At 39.8% G+C, this 18,809-nt stretch overlaps 1 protein-coding gene across 5 annotated transcripts in view; it reads right to left on the minus strand.

Annotated features, from left to right (window-relative positions):
- The window catches only part of ZNF560 (zinc finger protein 560), a 60,817-nt gene that overhangs the window by 17,114 nt on the left and 24,894 nt on the right, over positions 1-18,809 (minus strand). For 3 of the 5 annotated variants that reach the window (XM_011527697.3, NM_152476.3, XM_011527696.3), the window contains exons 3-10: positions 12,295-12,380; positions 11,210-11,336; positions 10,190-10,270; positions 8,307-8,389; positions 7,403-7,529; positions 6,641-6,721; positions 6,116-6,198; positions 3,366-5,345 (exon numbers count right to left, since the gene is read on the minus strand). In XM_011527697.3, coding sequence (XP_011525999.1) covers positions 3,585-5,345; positions 6,116-6,198; positions 6,641-6,721; positions 7,403-7,529; positions 8,307-8,389; positions 10,190-10,270; positions 11,210-11,336; positions 12,295-12,324 — 2,373 coding nt within the window. In that variant the 5' untranslated portion in view covers positions 12,325-12,380 and the 3' untranslated portion in view covers positions 3,366-3,584. Of the gene's footprint in view, positions 1-3,365; positions 5,346-6,115; positions 6,199-6,640; positions 6,722-7,402; positions 7,530-8,306; positions 8,390-10,189; positions 10,271-11,209; positions 11,337-12,294; positions 12,381-18,809 lie in introns of those variants that run through there. The other 2 variants (XR_007066601.1, NM_001351678.2) reach the window with 2 other exon arrangements.

An 18,809-nucleotide genomic window follows, 5' to 3' on the forward strand; every position in this document is an offset into this window, starting at 1 on the left:
TGATTAGTAATGATGGAAAACATCTGCCATTAGGATTAGAAATAAAAGTATGCTTGTTTTACTACTTCTAGTTATTATTCTAGTATTTTCTGCCTAGACAAGACATAAATGACTGAAGGTTACAAGTTAAGTCAGTTACAGATAATATGAAATGTGGAAAACCCAAAATACATAAAACTAGGATGTTAAAGAATGTTGAACAAGGCTTCTAGTAAAATTCAGTATACAAAGATCAAGTGATTTTATATAAACAATCAGAAATCAGCTTCTAAAAAAAATAAAAAAGGAAATCAGCTTCTGAAGCTAGGCAATTTCTAGGCTGTGAGACTAGGGTATCATTTCTTAGTGATACATCACTATTAGTCCAAGCACCAGGATGAGGCCAACCTACAGTATTGACCTCACCTGTGACCCACAAGTGCTCATACTCCAACAACTGTGAAAAAGTTTCAGGAATAACCTATAGGTTTTATTTGAGACAATCAGGATGGCATCTAAGGACAGTCTGTGAGGTGACAGAAGTCACACAAGGCAATTAAGACTAATCTGCGTCTTTTGTGTCACTGGTAACAGTTAAACGCAACAAAGATGGGTTAAAATAATCACACTCATACCACAAGAGAACCACTCTGAAACCCTTTCCTCTCCATAAGAAAACATGTAACATGAAAATGCATGGACCTCAATTCAGTTTTTTTGGTTTTGTTTTGTTTTTGAGACAAGGCCTCTGTCACCCAGGTTGGAGTCCAATGGCACGATCTGAGCTCACTGCAGCCATGACCTCCCTGGGGTCAGTGAGACACCTATCTCAGCCTCCTGAGTAGGTTGGACTACAGGCACGTGCCATCACACCAGGCTAATCTTTACATTTTTTGTAGAGATAGGGTTTTGCCATGTTGCCCGGGCTGGTCTTGAACTCCTGAGCCCAAGTGATCCGCCTGACTTGGCCTCCCGAAGTGCTGGGATTACAGGCATAAGCTATTACACCCAGCTGATTCAGGATTGGTAAACTTACCTGAAGCTTTGGATTACCATTACACTGGCTGGATTAAGAACCACAGAAAGAATCACCAAGAAACAACAGCCTTAATTGCTGTACATGATATAACAGAAATATTTAAATTTGTACCACTCAGACTGGAACCTGGTTATGCAGCTTGTGCGTGTGTGTGTATTCCAGGGCCATGTTCAGGAAGTGCTAGTGATGGTGTCAAGCACAGCAGAATATCATGATCATCCATGTTCACAGGAGTTTTTCTGTTTTCATAGCACATGGGCAAAATGAAACCCCAGAAATAGGTCATACTGCCAATCATAGCAGTTAACTGAGTCAGGCATATATGACTGCTTTGCCAAACAGTGGCATCAAAGACAACATTCGTGGTTCCCACCACCTCTCTGCACTGCCTGATAGTACAAGAGTTCCCACCTCTCCAGGTGAAGGGTTATGGGTGTCCCTCCACGGCCATGAAATCACGGTATCTTAAGTTACTATCTGTTAGTGCACCCTTTCTCCACTCAGACCCTTCTTCAACCCTGACCATTTATCTGAAAAGATCAGGTTTGAAAAGAGGAACAAGAGTATTTTTACATTTTAAAGCTGTATTATAACTTTTACCTTGGCCAGTGTGAGCCACTACAGGTGGACCATGTCTAAAAATATGACAAACCAAAAAGAGAATCTACACTGTTAAAACAGGATTGTCTGAATCCTGAAGGCCCACTTTAGGTCAGTTGTAACCCAGAGGATGTATAGCAACTAGAGTGGTGTTGCTATAGGAGAAAGACATACCATGCCAGGAATGAGCAGCGGGGTGTAAGAAACTTCCAAAATAGTTCTATAGAACCACCCAGAAAGCCAGGCTTTGACAGGTTTCAGAGAAGCAATCCTGATATTCCATACATGCCCAGTTTCTCATAAGTGTGAATGCCCCTCATATTCACTAAAGGACGAAGAATATAAAAAATTACTTTCCAACATTTATTACCTTCATGAAGTTTTTCTCCACTATAAAATTACAGGTAAACACCAAAGTATTTGGCAAGAATAAAACTTCTGAACATATCTTACATCAAACATCTTACATAAAAAGGGTTTATCTCCATTCCAAGAACCCAAGGAAACAGTGAAAGCTATTGATTTTTTTTTTTTTTTTTTTTGAGATGGAGTCTCGCTCAGTCGCCAGGCTGGAGTGCAGTGGCATGATCTTGGCTAACTGTAACCTCTGCCTCCCTGGTTGAAGCGACTCTCCTGCCTCAGGCTCTTGAGTAGCTGGGATTACAGGGGTGTACCACCATGCCCAGCTAATTTTTGTATTTTTAGTAGAGACAGGGTTTCACCATGTTGGCCTGGATGGCCTGGATAGTCTCGATCTCTTGACCTCGTGATCCACCTGCCTCAGCCTTCCAAAGTGCTGAGATTATAGGCATGAGCCACTGCGCCTGGCCAGCTCTCTATGTTTCTAACATTGTACAGCTTCAGGATGAACTCTTACACAGTGTATTGTCAGCAGATTCCAACGGTTCTCCCACATGCCTTTAACTTTATGGAGCATCATCAGAGTGTAAGTTCTTTCCTATCTTTGAAGTGAACAGGGACAAATGAGCACTTTGACACAGTGCTTACATTGTTTTCTCACCAGTGTGAATTACAATGTGACTATTAAGGCATATGGACTTCCAAAAGGATTTTCCTCATTCCTTACATAAAATGGGTTTCTTGGCCAGGCGCGATGGCTCACACCTGTAATTCTACCACTTTGGGAGGCCAAGGCGGGCAGATTACCTGAGGTCAGGACTTCAAGACCAGCTTGGCCAAAATGTTGAAACCCCGTCTCTACTAAAAATACAAAAAATCAGCCAGGTGCAGTGGTGTGTGCCTATAATCCCAGCTACTCGGGAGGCTGAGGCAGGAGAATCGCTTGAACCCAGGAGGCGGAGGTTGCAGTGAGCCGAGATCATGCTACTGCACTCCAGCCTGGGCTACAGAGTGGGACTTCATCTCAAAAACAAACAAACAAAAAAACATGGTTTCTCTCCATGGTGTTTCTACACGTTCAGTAAGATGAGAAGAATGCCAGGTGCAGTGGCACACACCTGTAATCCCAGCATTTTGGGAGGTGGAAGCACATGATCACATGAGGTCAGGAGTTTGAGACTAGCTTGGCCAACATGGTGAAATTCTGTCTCTACCAAAAATATAAAAAATTAGCCAGGTGTGGTGGTGCATGCCTGTAATCCCAGCTACTCAGGAGACTAAAGCAGGAGAATTGCTTGAACTTGGGAGGCAGAGGTTGCAGTGAGCCAAGATCATGCCACTGCACTCCAGCCTAGGTGACAGAGTGAGACTCATCAAAAAAAAAAAAAGAGAGAGAGAAGAACTAGTGTTTTCCTACATCCCTTACATTTACAGGGTTTCTCTACAGTGTGAGTTTGTACATATCTAGAAAGATTCAACTGTTCAGGCTTTCTCACATTCCTTACATTGATAGTGTTACTTTCTCCTGTGAATTTTTACATGTTCAGTTAGGCTTGAGGAAACAGCAAAGGTTTTTCCACATTCTTCACATCCACAGGGCTTCTCTCTAGTGTGTTTTCAAATGTGCAATACGAGCTGAGAAAGAAGCAAAGGCTTTCCCACACTGGTCACATTCAAAGGGTTTCTCTCCCATATGAGTTCTTAAATGTTGAATACGTCCTGAGGATGTACGGAAGGCCTTCCCACATTCCTTACATTTATAGGGCTTCTCTCCAGTGTGAATTCGCACATGATTAGTAAGATCTGAATGACAAGTGAAGGCTTTCCCACAGTCCTTACATTTATAGGGTTTTATTTTGGTGAGAGTTTTTAAGCGATCATGAAAGCACATGGAATTTCGAAAGGAATTTCCACATGCGTTACATTCAGAGGTCTTCTCTGCTGCATGAGTTTTTAAGTGTTGAGTTAGTACACAAGACCTACTGTAAGCTTTTTCACATGCATTACATTTATAGGGTTTATATCCAGTGTGAGTTCTTAAATGATCAACTAGACTGGAGGAGACAACAAAGGCTTTCCCACAGTCCTTATATTCATAGGGCTTATCTCCAGTGTGTCTTCGTAAATGTTTAGTAAGATCTGAGCGTTCTGTGAAGGCTTTTCCACATTTCTTACATTCATATGGCTTCTCTCCACTGTGTCTTCGTAAATGTTTAGTAAGGTATGAGCGCTCAGTGAAGGCTTTCCCACATTTCATACATTCATAGGGTTTCTCTCCAGCGTGTGTTCGTAAATGTTTGGTAAGATATGAGCACTTAGTGAAAGCTTTACCACATTTCTTACATTGATAGAGTCTCTCTTCTGTGTGAGTTCGCATGTGAATACGAAGACAGGCAGAAGAGGTAAATGGTTTCCCACATTTGTAACACTTAAAGGGCTTCTCACCAGTGTGAGTTCTCAAATGAGCAAAAAGAGATGAGAAAGAAACAAAGACTTTCCCACACTGGTCACAATCAAAGCGTTTCTGTCCTGTGTTACTTCTTCTATCTTCAATAACACCTGAGGATGTACCAAAGGCCTTCCCATATTCCTTATGCTCATATGGCTTCTCTCCATTATGAACTCTCAAATGTCCAAAAAGAGATGGGTAAGAAATAAAGGCTTTCCCACAGTGGTCACATTTAAAGGTTTTCTCTCTGGCGTGACATCTTATATGTTCAATAAGGCCTGCAGATGTACCAAAGGCTTTACCACATTCCTTACACCCATAGGGCTTCTCTCCAGTGTGAGTTCGTACATGTTCAAGAAAGCCTGACGGCACAGTGAAGGTTTTGCCACAGTGCTTACATTTATAAGGTTTTATCCCAATGTGGGTTTGCATGTGATTATTAAGGTGGGTAGGGTATCTAAAATCTTTTCCACATTCCTTACATTCATAGGGGTTTTTAATAATGTGTGTTTCAACATTTACAGCATGGCTTGTGGAGTGAGTAAATGCTTCCCCACATTGCTTCCATTCATTGAGTTTTTCTCCACTCTGAGTTTTCCTGTGTGCTTCAAGGTATGACTGATAAATGAAGGCTTTCCCATAGTCAGTGCCTTCAAAGGATTTATCTTGTGTACACTTTCTCTGGACCTGAACATTTAAAATCAGGCGGAAAGATTTTCCATGCTTACTGAACACAGAAACTTTCCTTATGGTAGAGGTTTTATTGTATAGAGAAAGGAGGTCTTTTGCATACTGAATACATTCAGACGTGTTGCCTCTATTTTGAGTACTCATGTTGGTCTTAAGGCATGGATGTTTACAGAAGACATCTTCACATTGCTTACAGTCATAGAGTTCCTCTCCATTTTGGTTTCTTGCCTGTTAACACAGGAATGAACAATAAAGGAAGCATTTTAGCAGACTTATTAATAGATACCACTCTTCTAAGAAACATGATAATTATTATTTTTGCCACTTTTATAACATGCATATAGTTTCTACCTTTTGGATTTCCTTCAACTTGAATAATGGAACCCTACTGTAAGAATCCTATGTCATCTGCTCTAATCTTGGCAAGATTCCTGTAGCTTTTCATGAAGTTATTTTAAAAACTCAAATGTCTAGTTATACATGTTGGAATGAACATTCATGGGAAGTCTTAAGTACCAAGCTTCACACAAGGTATGGGATCTCTCTCCAGATATTTCTCCCCTTGGGTGAATTGGGTGAATGCCACTTCTCTCAAATATCTATCATTTCTGCTGATTTCTTTTTTTTTTTTTTTTTTTTGAGATGGGGTTACGCTCTGTTGCCCAGGCTGTAGTGTGCAGTGGCACGATCTCAGCTCACTGCAACCTCCACCTCCTGGGTTCAAACAATTCTTCTGCCTCAGCCTCACAAGTAGCTGGGACTACAGGTACACACCACTATGCCCAGCTAATTTTTGTATTTTTAGTAGAGATGGGGTTTCACCATATTGGCCAGGCTGGTCTCGAACTCCTGACCTCATGATCCGCCTGCCTCAGCCTCCCAAAGTGCTGGGATTAGAGGCATGAGCCACCGTGCCTGGCCATTTCTGCTGATTTCTATAATGCAATACCAGTCTTCTCTGAATGTGAAAAATAAGAAAGTTCTTTTGTTAATCTTACCAACTGTATCCCATTTAATGTTTTTAAACAAAAATTATCTTGCCAAAGGGCTGGCCCTTTGGTTTTCAGGCACATTTTCCATTCTGAAATAAAAGAGAAAAATATACATGAGAGTTTACACATGAAATGGTAGGTTAAATAAAAAGCAGATAGATTTGAACAATTTATATATGTCTAAAATTTGGCAATCATATGGGGTCAAGTTTTAGTAATTTTTAAAACAACTTATTCTATGAAAATTAAACATGATGGTTAACAGAAGCAATACTACCAGGGAAGGAAAAGTCGGAAAAATTGGAACAAAAGCATACAATAAATCCATAAACATAAAGAAGGTCATTTGTTAGGTAATAGGGAAGTCTGGATAGATGCAAAGCAATGGAGGATGAAAAGTTAAGATATCCCAAAACATCCAAGTCCAGTGGACAGCCTTCTGATTCAAAGGGCATCTTATAAAACTTCATTGTGCTTCCAAACGTACTGAGAACTTCTCATGGACCAGGGTTGTTCTTCACAAACACTCACCTTGGAGAACTCTTGGCAGTGTGCTCAACTCTTCCTCTTCCTCCAGCCAAGAGATCAGACTGGGTTTGAAGAGCTGGTAACCTGTACACAGGGAAAGATACACCAATGGAAGAGGCTCATGCAAGAAATGGCAAACTTTTCCATGAAACAGGGACTACGTTTCTAATTAAAGCAGTGAAAAGCACTTAAATTGCATATATCCCATCTTTCTGTTCTCTGAAGACACTGGTTATCTCTGACCTCTGAAATTCACATTCAAGCTTAACTCATTTCCTGTTTGCCCCAAGAAACAAGCACTAGCAGTGAGCTGCACTTTTTCTTTCTAAATGGCAAATGTTAAATACAAATTCTAAAAACCACTAAAACCTTTATTAAAATAGAAACTAATGGAAGCTCAAAGAGAGATCTTGATTCTCCTGGGAAAACTCCCATTCCAGTAGTTCTGAACTTTAGAGTGAATTACTCATCTGAATACAGGGCCCCAACAGCAGACTTTTTGATTTAGTACATCGAGTCTGAGAATGTACACATATCTAAGACAGTGATGGTGATGCTACTGACGCAAACTACCATACAAGATTAAAACCCATTAGTACAGGAACTGTCTCTGTTATTTCCTATTTTACTCATTAAAAAAAATTTTTTTTCAGTGTGTATATATCCCACTGTATTCAGATTTGACATCACTAATCCTAGAATACAGTAAGTACATAATTTGTATCTTGTTCCAGAATAGGCTACAAGGGATGATGCCAGACTTACCTACTGAGGACAGGTTCTTGTAGTTCTCCAGCATCACATCACTGTACAGGTTTCTCTGAGCTGGGTCCAGTAAAGTCCACTCTTCCTGGGTGAACTCCACAGCCACACTGTCAAAGGTTACCAGGTCCTAAACCATCAGACACATGCTGATTTGAGCCAAGCAACATCTCCACCAATGTTGGCTGAAGAATGAGGAAGGGGGACCCAATCCCTGTACAGGGTACTGAGTGCTCCCACTATCTACACCCCAAGGTTCAGTGGCCCTAGGAACTCTTCTATCCACATTCACTCACTGTCAATTTCCTCCAATAACATGGCTGTAACAGAACCTCTTACACAGAAACTTATCAACCACAACTAGACCGGGAGCTCATCTCATTTGATTCCTCTCTACTGCAAAACACTCCTGAGCACATAACAAATACTTGATAAATGAGGATATGGATAAATTCCTTAAGAAAAGAACACTTTCATACCCCTTACCATCTGTCCTAGCACCCAGAAAAATAAATATGCAGTTGGCACCAGGAAAATGAACACTAATTCATAAATACAAAAATACTGAGATAATTTCCAGGGTAATTCCTCACCAATATGAGAGGTATGACTTTCTGGGAAAAATTCAACTAGGGTCTATATTTGCTTTAAGGAAGAATACAGACAGGAGTACCTACAAGAAAATGAGTCTTTGTTGATATCATTACTCCAATTTTAGAAGGATACAACTTTCACACTAAGTTTAGATCTCCCCAAATTCATCATTATCAGAGCATCTCTCCAGAGACATTGCTCCCTCTTGAGTGAATGCTATTCCTCTCAATTATCTTTTGTGCTTATTTTCTATATTGGAAGTCCCAATATTCTCTGAGTGTGAAAAATAAGAAATACCCTTTCTTAACATTACCATTTGTATCCCATTAGAAGTTTGTATTTTCCAAAACTCCTGCTGCAGTGCTGAAACACTGGTTTGATGTTTTATTGCCCAGTCTGAAACAAAAACATAAACTGAGGTTTTTTTTTTTTTTAAAAAAAAAGGTAAAATGAAAGAGTTAAAAATTATAGGCCTCATTCATATTTGTTTTTAAAATAAACATAAGAAAAAAGAAAGCTAAATTGAACATTTAGACTGTGTCAAAAAATTGGCAATAATGAGATTAAAGGGTCAAAATTTTAGCTAATTTGCTACAAATTGACTCATTTAGATTTAAAACTAATGTTAAACAGAAAGAATGTTATCAGAAAAGTAGGAAAGATCTGGGCCAAAGCCATATTTCAAAGCAAAGAACTTGAAAAACAAAATATATAGTTTCATAAGATCATAGAAAGTTGGAGTAGATGGAAATTTAAAGAGTATCAAAAATTGAATATTTTCTAACTTCTGAGATAAATGGCCTTAACCTTGTGAGAGAAGGTGCATCTTAAAAAGTTCCCTCAGAGGGCTGGGTGTGGTGGCTTACGCCTGTAATCCCAGCACTTTGGGAGGCTGAGGTGGGCGGATCACAAGGTTAGGAGATGAAGACCATCCTGGCTAACACGGTGGAACACCATCTCTACTAAAAATACAAAAAATTAGCCGGGCATGTTGGCAGGCACCTGTAGTCCCAGCTACTCGGGAGGCTGAGGCAGGAGAATGGCATGAACCTGGGAGGCATAGGTTGCGGTGAGCCAAGATCGTGCCACTGCACTCCAGCCTGGGGGACAGAGTGAGACTCCGTCTCAAAAAAAAAAAAAAAAGTTCCCTCATTATGTTTCTGATGGTTTGGATGTTAGTTCCCTCCAAATCTCATATGGAAATGCAACGCCAAATACTGGAGGTGGGGCCTGGTGGGAGATGTTTGGATCATGGGGGTGGGTCCTTCATGAATGGCTTAGTGACATACTCGGAGTAATAAGTGAGTTCTTGTTCTGAATTCATGTGAGACCTGGTAGTTTAAAACAGGAGTCTCCAACTCCGGAGCCATGGACCAGAACCAGGCCACAGCACAGGAGGTGAGTGGCAGGAGAGCAAGTGAAGCTTCATTTGTATTTATAGCTGCTCTCCATCCTAATTGCCTCCTGAGCTCCGCCTCTTGTCAGATCAGCGGCAGCACTTGATTCTCATAAAAGAGCAAAATCTATCATGAACTGTGCATGCGAAGGATTTAGTTTGCGCGCTCCTTTTGAGAATCTAATGCCTGATGATCTGTCACTGTCTCCCATCACCCCCAGATCCCCAAATGGGACCATCTGGTTACAGGAAAACAACCTCAGGGTTCCCATTGATTCTACATTATGGTAGAATTGTATAATTATTTCATTACAGTAGAGTTATGGTAGAGTTGTATAATTATTTCCTTATATATTACAATGTAATAATAGTAGAAATAAAGTGCACAATAAATGTAATGCACCTGAATCATCCTGAAACAATATCCCTGAGACCTGGTCTGTGGAAAAATTGTCTTCCATGAAACTGGTCCCTGATGCCAAAAAGGCTGGGGACTGCTGGTTTAAAACACTATGACACCACCCCCAACTTCTCTTTTACTCCCTTTCTCATCATGTAATTTGTCTGCTCCTCCTTTGCCTTCTGCCATGATTGTAAGGTTTCTGAGGCTCTCACCTGAAGCAGATGTCAGAACCATGCTTTCTGTAGAGCCTGCAGAATCGTGAGCCAAAATAAACCTATTTTCTTAATAAATCACCCAGTCTCAGGTATTTCTTTCTTGCAACACAAGAACAGACTAACACAGCTTCTAAACATACTGAACTTCTCACTGACCAAGGTTGTTCTTCACAAATACTCACCTTGGAGAACTCCTTGCTGCAAGGTTCTCAACTCTTCTTCTTCCAACCAAGAGATGACACTGGGTTTAAAGAGCTGAAATCCTTTACATGAAGAAATGATACATTAATGGAAGAGGCTCAGGCCAGGCACAGTGGCTCATGCCTGTAATCCCAGCACTTTGGGAGGCTGAAGTGGGTGGATTACCTGAAGTCAGGAGTTCAAGATCAGCCTAAGATGGTGAAACCCCCGTCTCTACTAAAAATACAAAAATTAGCTGGGTGTGATGGCGTGTGCCTATAATCCCAGCTACTTGGGGGGCTGAGACAGAAGAATTGCTTGAACCCAGGAGGCAGAGGTTGCAGTGAGCCGAGATCATGCCACTGCACTCCATCCTGGACAACAAGAGCAAAATTCCATCTCAAAAAAAAAAAAATAATGGAAGAGGCTCATGCAAGAGATGATAAACTTTACATTATAGAACTATAGTTCTTAGAGAAAGCAGTGAAATTATTTCAAATGGACTAAAACTGAAAATATCTCTTATTTCTGTGCACCCCAAAATTGGCTCTCTGACCTCTGAAATGCAAATTCATGCTTATGTGCACATTTACAAAGCAATAACCTTTTAGTCACAGAAATAAGGTATGTTGTCAAACTCCTGAATGAAGAAAAAAAAGAAAAAAAGTGAAACAAAGAGACCCTTGTATACTTGGAGAATACAACTACACCAGTGATTCTTAATATTATAGTGCATCAAATTGATGTGGAAGGATAGTTAACACACAGATGACAATCCAAGTGGAGAGTTTCTGATTCAGTAGGTCAAAGGCAGAGACTAAGACTGTACATTTCTAAGGGAGTAACAGTGATGCTGTCGAAACTGGACCACACTTTGAAAACGACCACAGTAATTAAGACCTATTATGGCAGGGACAACGTCTCTGGTGAATTCAGTGTTGAACAAACCAATTCTGGAACACAGCAAGTACACAATGTATATCTCTTCCCTAAGAGGCTGCATAAAATGATGGCAGTCTTACCTACTTTGGCCACGTTCTCATAATTCTCCAGCATCACATCTCTGTATAAGTTTCTCTGAACTGGGTCCAGTAAAATCCACTCCTCCTGGGTGAAGTCCACAGCTGTATCCTCAAAGGTCACGGAGTACTAAACCATCACATACATGTTGATTTGAGCCAAGTAACAGATTAACCAGTGTTCACTGAAGAATCAGTTAACAGACCCCAATGCCTATAAAGAGTTGTGAGGTCTCTCATTATCTACCCAAAGCTTAATAATCCCAGGTAAATCTCAGGTATTCCTCTCTCTATCCTTGCTCTTTCACTACTTAACAATTCCAGTTGTATGGCTTTAATGGCACATCTCAATCATGAACTTCTCATCACAAGCAGACTGTGAGTGCTTTCTCAACTTATTTCCCTCTACTAAAAGATATCCCAGAGTACACTGCATCATATACTTGATAAACAGCGATGAATGATTAGCCTTTTTTTTTGGGAAGCAGGGTCTTGCTCTGTCACGTAGGCTGGACTGCAGTGGTGTGATCATGGCTCACTGCAGCCTTGACTTACTGGGCTCAAGTGATCGTCCTGCCTCAGCCTCCTGAGTAGCTAGGACTACAGCCATGCACCACCATGCCTGGCATTTTTTTTTTTTTTTTTTTTTTTTGTGGAGACAATGTCTCAGTATGTTGCCCAGGCTGGTCTCAAATTCCTAAGATCAAGCGATAATGCCACTCACTTCTCAGCCTCCCAAAGTGCTGAGATTACAAGTGTGAGCCACTGCACCTGGCCAGGATTAGCCTTTGAGTAAAGGATGCTTTCATCTTCCTTTCCATCTGCCAGACCACTCAGCAAAATAAGAAATATATATCTGGCACCATAAGGGACAAAATTAATTAACAATTACTGAAATGCTGAAATGCTTTTCAAGGATTATCAGTATGAGAACCTCCACTCCCTGGGGAAATTCAACAAGTGACTCAGTGCTTGAGTGAGTCTTTATTTACTTAAAGAAGCTCTGGAGACACATCTGCCTAGAAGGAAATGTGTTTACCTGGTGATGCAAGTATGTCATTTTGTGGAAGTATACATTTTCTGCATACCTGATAACAATTTGTCAGGCAGTAAGCCATCTTCCTTTCTGCCTCTGTCTTTTCTTCATGAAGGCAGATTGGGTTCCTAGAAAGACCTGGAAAAGAAAGAAGGCATAAGAGCCCAGACATAATCACAGTTCCAACATTCGCATGCATGGAAGTTATTCCAACCTGGTTCGAAATTCTCTTATAATTCATATAAACTCACATAAATATACATTACATCCATAAAATGCCACTGCACTTCTGTCTAACCTAGAGCAAGAAAAAGGAATTGTGGGCCAAGCTGTCGTAAGTAAAAGTATAATATCCTCATTGCACAGGTAAAGAAACTTTTTTTTTTTTTTTTGGAGATGGAGTTTCACTCTGTTGCCCAGGCTGGAGTGCAGTGGCACGATCTCGGCTCACTGCAAGCTCTGCCTCCTGGGTTCACGCCATTCTCCTGCCTCAGCCTCCTAAGTAGCTGGGACTACAGGCACCTGCCACCACGCCCGGCTAATTTTTTGTAGTTTTAGTAGAGATGGGGTTTCACCGTGTTACCCAGGATGTTCTCCATCTCCTGACCTCATGATCCGCCCAACTTGGCCTCCCAAAGTGCTGGGATTACAGGCATGAGCCACTGCACCTAGCCAGGTAAAGAAACTTAAGACCTGAGGAATGTAAGTCTTTTTGTGCCCATGGTGATATAACTCACAAATGAGATTATGCAGCACCTCTTCTCAAAGAACACACTTAAGGGGGCTAACTTACACAACAGGCCTCTCTGGCACACTTCAACAACTCAGAAAGGAACTACTAGTGTGAATACTAAGGCCTAGAGCCCTGGACTATATATTCTGCATGGGGTACTGATATGGTGTGGCTCTGTGTCCCCACCCAAATCTCATCTTGAATTGTGATAATCCCCACATGTCAAGGGCAGAACCAGATGGAGGTGATTGGATCATGGGGGCAGCTTCCCCCATGCTGTTTTCGTGATAATGAGTGAGTCTCACAAGATCTGATGGTGGGTTTTTTTTTGTTTGTTTTTGTTTTTGAAACAGAGTCTTGCTCTGTCACCCAGGCTGGAGTGCAATGGCGAGATCTTGGCTCACTGCAACCTCTGCCTCCCGGGTTCAAGCAATTCTCTTGCCTCAGCCTCCTGAGTAGCTGGGATTACAGGCACGTGCCACCAGACCTGGCTAACTTTTGTATTTTTAGTAGAGACAGGGTTCCACCAGTTGGTCAGGCTGGTCTCGAACTCCTGACCTTGTGATCCACCTGCCTTGGCCTCCCAAAGTGCTGGGATTACAGATGTGAGCCACCGCGCCCGGCCAATCTGATGGTTTTATAAGTATGTGGCATTTCCCCGGCTTGCACCCAATCTCTCTCCTGCCACCCTGTGAAGAGGTGTCTTCTGCCATTGATGCCACCCTGTGAAGAGGTGCCTTCTGCCATTGATGTTAAGTTTCCTGAGGCCTCCCCAGTCATGTGGAACTGTGAGTTAATTAAACCTCTTTTCTTTATAATTATCCAGTCTTATGTATTTTTTCATAGCAGTGAGAACAGACTAATATGGTTACCTAAAGCAGATTTTTGGAAAAACTTACCATAGGGCAAATCCTGTGAGGCTGACAGTGAAATATGTCTGGACACAGTTTTTTGTGATTCCAAGGACATATCAGGGTAGCTTATAAATCTAAGTGGATAACTGGCAATCTATTCCTCTTTATATAGAGTATCTGGACTCATGTAGACATCAATCATTAATCAACAAGCGTTACTTATCAGTCATCAAATACCATATATTAAATCTTTACTGCTGGTGATATGTGTAAAACCCACTAGAAATAGTATATGTTCTGTATAAAATGAGTATTAATAACACCAACTGCCATTTACTAGGGACTGTTATATGTTAGACATTACATATATATACACATACATATGTGCATATACATATATACATATATATATGCTCACTTATCTGAACAATATCCCTATTTAGTGCTGAAAAAAATCTAAATTCAGAAAACACAAATGACTCTTCTAATATCATCTACTTAGGAAGCGGTGAACCAGGACTTGAATGCAGTCAAGTTTGTCCCTAAGTCTAATCCTCTGTGGTTGTTATTACTCCCCCATAATGACTGCCATATAAAGGACTCTGGGAATTGATACCTGGCTTACTTAAAATGTGCTATTCTACTTTTGACTATAAAGAATTAGAACAAGAATGTCATCCTTTACAAACAAGTCAGAACTCATTTCCAACTCTGGTTGCTTCAACAGGGTTCCAAGTAGAACACTGAAGTTAGCGTTCAGAGTTCTGCCCATTGCTCCTGCAAGAGGACAAAAAACATGCAGAGCAGCAATCGCAAATCAGACTCTGCCCCTTATATTGACTATTTGATGGGTCTTCTCAGAAAATCACCTTTTATTATTATTCATGAGTTCTCTTTTTCCTAAAATTTCTGCTTGTATTTTTATCCCTTCCTTCCTTTATGGTTCTTACAAATCAAATGAAAAACGCAATTGAGATCATCAACAGTAGAGAAGGAAAAGAAAAAAATCTTTGAACTTGAAAACAGACTACTTAGAAATACACAAAGGAGAAAAAACAAAAATGAAGAAAAATTACAAGATTCAAGGGACATCATCAAAAGAGCAAATTTTTGAGTTACAGGAGTACAAGAAGACAAGAAAGAAAGAGAACACATACTTAAAGAAACAATAACAACATTTCCACACTGAGGAAAATATATAAATATCCATACTCAGGAAGGGCAAACATCTCCAATCACATTCAATCCAAACAAGGCTACCCTAAGATATAATATAATCAAACAGTCAAAAATGAAAAGCAAAGTGAAGATCTTGGAAGCAGCATGAAAAAAGATGCAAATCACATATGAACGAGTTCCAATAAGGTTATGAGCAGACCTGTCACCAAAGACCTTACAGGCCAGGAGAGAATGGGATGACATATATAAACTGCTGTCAGGAAAAACAAACAAACAAAAAAACTGCTCACAAAGAATACCATACCCAGCAAAGCTGTCCTTCAGGAATGAAAAAGAGATGAAGATTTTCAAAGAAAAACAAAAGCAGAGGTAGTTCATCGACACCAGACCTAATAAGAAATGCTAAAGGGAGTTCTCAAGCTTAAAAAAAGGACACTAATTAGTAACAAGAAAACAAAGCACAAAACTCAGGTAAAAATAAGCACGTAGCTAATTCAGAATACTCAAACACTGTAATGGTGGTTTATAAATGAATTATATCCTTACGATGAAGGTTAAGAGATAAAAGTATTAGGAACAGTAAGAGCTAAAATAATTAAGGGATATACAATATAAAAATATGTAAATTACAATATCAGAAAAATAAAATGAGGAGAGGTTGAGTTAAAGTATAGTTATTTTATGTGATCACAGTTATCGGCTTAAAATATCCTGCTATAAGATGTTTCATATAAGTCTTATGGTAACCACAAAGCAAAAATGTATAGCCAACACACAAAAGATAAAAAGTAAAGAATCAAAAGTACACTAGAGAAAATTATTAATCACAAAAATAGACAAAGGAAGAAACAAAGAATATAAAAAAAAACCCCACAAAACTTAACGAGCCAGGTGCAGTGCCTCATGCCACTAATCCCTGCACTTTGGGAGGTGGAGGCAGGTGGATCACTTGAGGCCAGAAGTTCAAGACTAGCCATGGCCAACATGGCGAAACCTTGCCTCTACTAAAAATACAAAAATTAGCCAGGCATGGTGACGGGCACCTGTAATCCCAGCTATTCAGGAGGCTGAGGCAGGAGAATCACTTGAATGGGCAGGAGAATCGCTTGAACCCAGCAGATGAAGATTGCAGTGAGCCAAGATCATGCCACTATACTCCAGCCTGGGATTTTTTTTTTCCAAAATGGAAAAAAAAAAAGAAAGAAAACTATTAACAAAATGGCAGTAGTAAGTACCTACCTACAATGATTACTCTGAATGCACACACACTAAATTCTCCAATTCAAAGACAGAATGGCCAAGTGGATTAAAAAAACAAACAAAGACACAAATGATCATGTTGTTTACAAGAGACTCACTTCATCCTTAAGGACATACATAAATTAAAAACAAAAGGGCAGGGGAAAAAACACTCCACACAGATAGAAACCAAAAGACAGCTAAGTTAAGTATTACTTATATCAGACAAAGTGAACTTTAAGTCAAAAACCGTAACAGGACACAAAGGTCGTTATATGATAATAAAGGAATCTACCAATCAATAAGATAGAATAATTATAAATATACAATTGGCCATCTGAATTCATGAGTACCACATCTCCACTTATTAGGGTAGATTCAACCTGCCATGGATTGAAAATATCCAGAAAAAAAAAATGCATGGGTCCAACTTTATTATATATGTGCACATATTTTCCCTGCTCATTATTCCCCAAATAATACAGCAAAACAACTATTTACATAGCATTTACTTTAAGTTTTACAGTAATCTAAAGATATTTTAAAGTACATGAGAGGATGTGCATGATTTTCAAACAAATACAACATCATTTTATAAGAGACTTGAACATGCCTAAATTTTGGTATCCACAGGTGGGGGAGGGGTTATAGGAAGGGGGGTTATCCTGAAACAAATCCCCCACAGATTCCAAAGGATGACTACATATGCCAACAACAACAGAGCACGTAAACATATAAAGCAAATTAATAATAGATCTGAAGACAGAGATAGATTGCAATAAAATAATGGGAGACTTTAATACCCTACTTTGAACAACGGACAGATCATTCAGACAGAAAATCAATAAAGAAACATGAGACTAGAACTACACTTTAGACCAAAACAATCTAACAACATACACAGAACATTCCATCCAACAGCAGCAAAATACACATTCTTCTCAAGTGCACACAGAACATTATCCAAGATAGATCATATGTTAGGTCACAAAACAACAACAACAACAACAAAGCAAGTCTTAACAAATTTAAGAAGCTTAAAATCATATCAAACATCTTTTCTGACTACAGCTGTAAGAAAATAGAAATCAACAATAGGAAGAAAATTAGAAAATTCACAAATAGGTGGAAATGAAGTAACACACACCTGAACAAGCAAAGGATTTAAAGAGGGCAGTTAATAGCAATAAATGCCTATATGAAAAAAGAAAATCACAAGTAAACACCCTAACACTGCACCTTGAGGACTTAGAAGAACAACAAGAACTAAGCTGAAAGTTAGTAGAAGGAAGGAAATAATAAAGACCAGAACTGAAATAAATGAAACTAAAAAAAAATCACAAAAGATAAAGGAAACTAAAAGTTTTCTGAAAAGATGAACAAACCTTTAGATAGATCAAGGGGTGAAGAGAAAAAAAAAAAGCCGGGCACAGTGGTTCACAACTGTAATTGCAGCACTTTGGGAGGCTGAGTTAAAAGGATCAACTGAGCCCAGGAGTTCAAGGCCAGCCTGAGCAACATAGCAAGGTCCTCATCTGTACAAAAAAATGCTTTCAAAAATAGCTGGGACTGGGCATGGTGGCTCACACCTGTAATCTCAGCATTTTGGGAGGCCAAGGTGGGAAGATTGCTTGAGCTCAGGAATTCGAGACCAGCCTAGGCAACACAGTAAAACCCTCTCTACAAAAAATACAAAAATTAGTTGGGTGTGGTGGTGCACGCCTGTAGTCCCAGCTATTCAGGAGGCTGAGGTAGGAGGATAGCTTGAGCCCAGGAGAGAGAGGCTGCAGTGAGCTGAGATCATGCCACTGCATTCCACCTGGGCAATACAGGCAGAGATTATCTGAAAAAAAAAAAAAAAAAGGCCTCAGAAATAACACCACACATCTACACCATGTGATCTTTGACAAACCAGACAAAAACAAGAAATGGGAAAAGGATTCCCTATTTAATAAATGGTGCTGGGAAAACTGGCTAGCCATATGTAGAAAGCTGAAACTGTATCCCTTCCCTATACCTTATACAAAAATTAATTCAAGATGGATTAAAGACTTAAATGTTAGACCTAAAACCATAAAAACCCTAGAAGAAAACCTAGGCAATGCCATTCAGGACATAGGCATGGGCAAGGACTTCATGTCTAAAACACCAAAAGCAATGGCAACAAAAGCCAAAATTGACAAATGGGATCTAATTAAACTAAACAGCTTCTGCACAGCAAAAGAAACTGCCATCAGAGTGAACAGGCAACCTACAGAATGGGAGAAAATTTTTGTAATCTACAAATCTGACAAAGGGCTAATATCCAGAATCTACAAAGAACTTAAACAAATTTACAAGAAAAAAATCAAACCACCCCATAAAAAAGTGGGCAAAGGACATGAACAGACACTTTTCAAAAGAAGATATGTATGCAGCCAACAGACACATGAAAAAATGCTCATCATCACTGGTCATCAAAGAAATGCAAATCAAAACCACAATAAGATACCATCTCAAACCAGTTAGAATGGCGATCATTAAAAAGTCAGGAAACAACAGGTGCTGGAGAGGATGTGGAGA

Source organism: Homo sapiens, chromosome 19, assembly GCF_000001405.40.
Source record: "Homo sapiens chromosome 19, GRCh38.p14 Primary Assembly".
Classification (NCBI taxonomy): domain Eukaryota; kingdom Metazoa; phylum Chordata; class Mammalia; order Primates; family Hominidae; genus Homo; species Homo sapiens.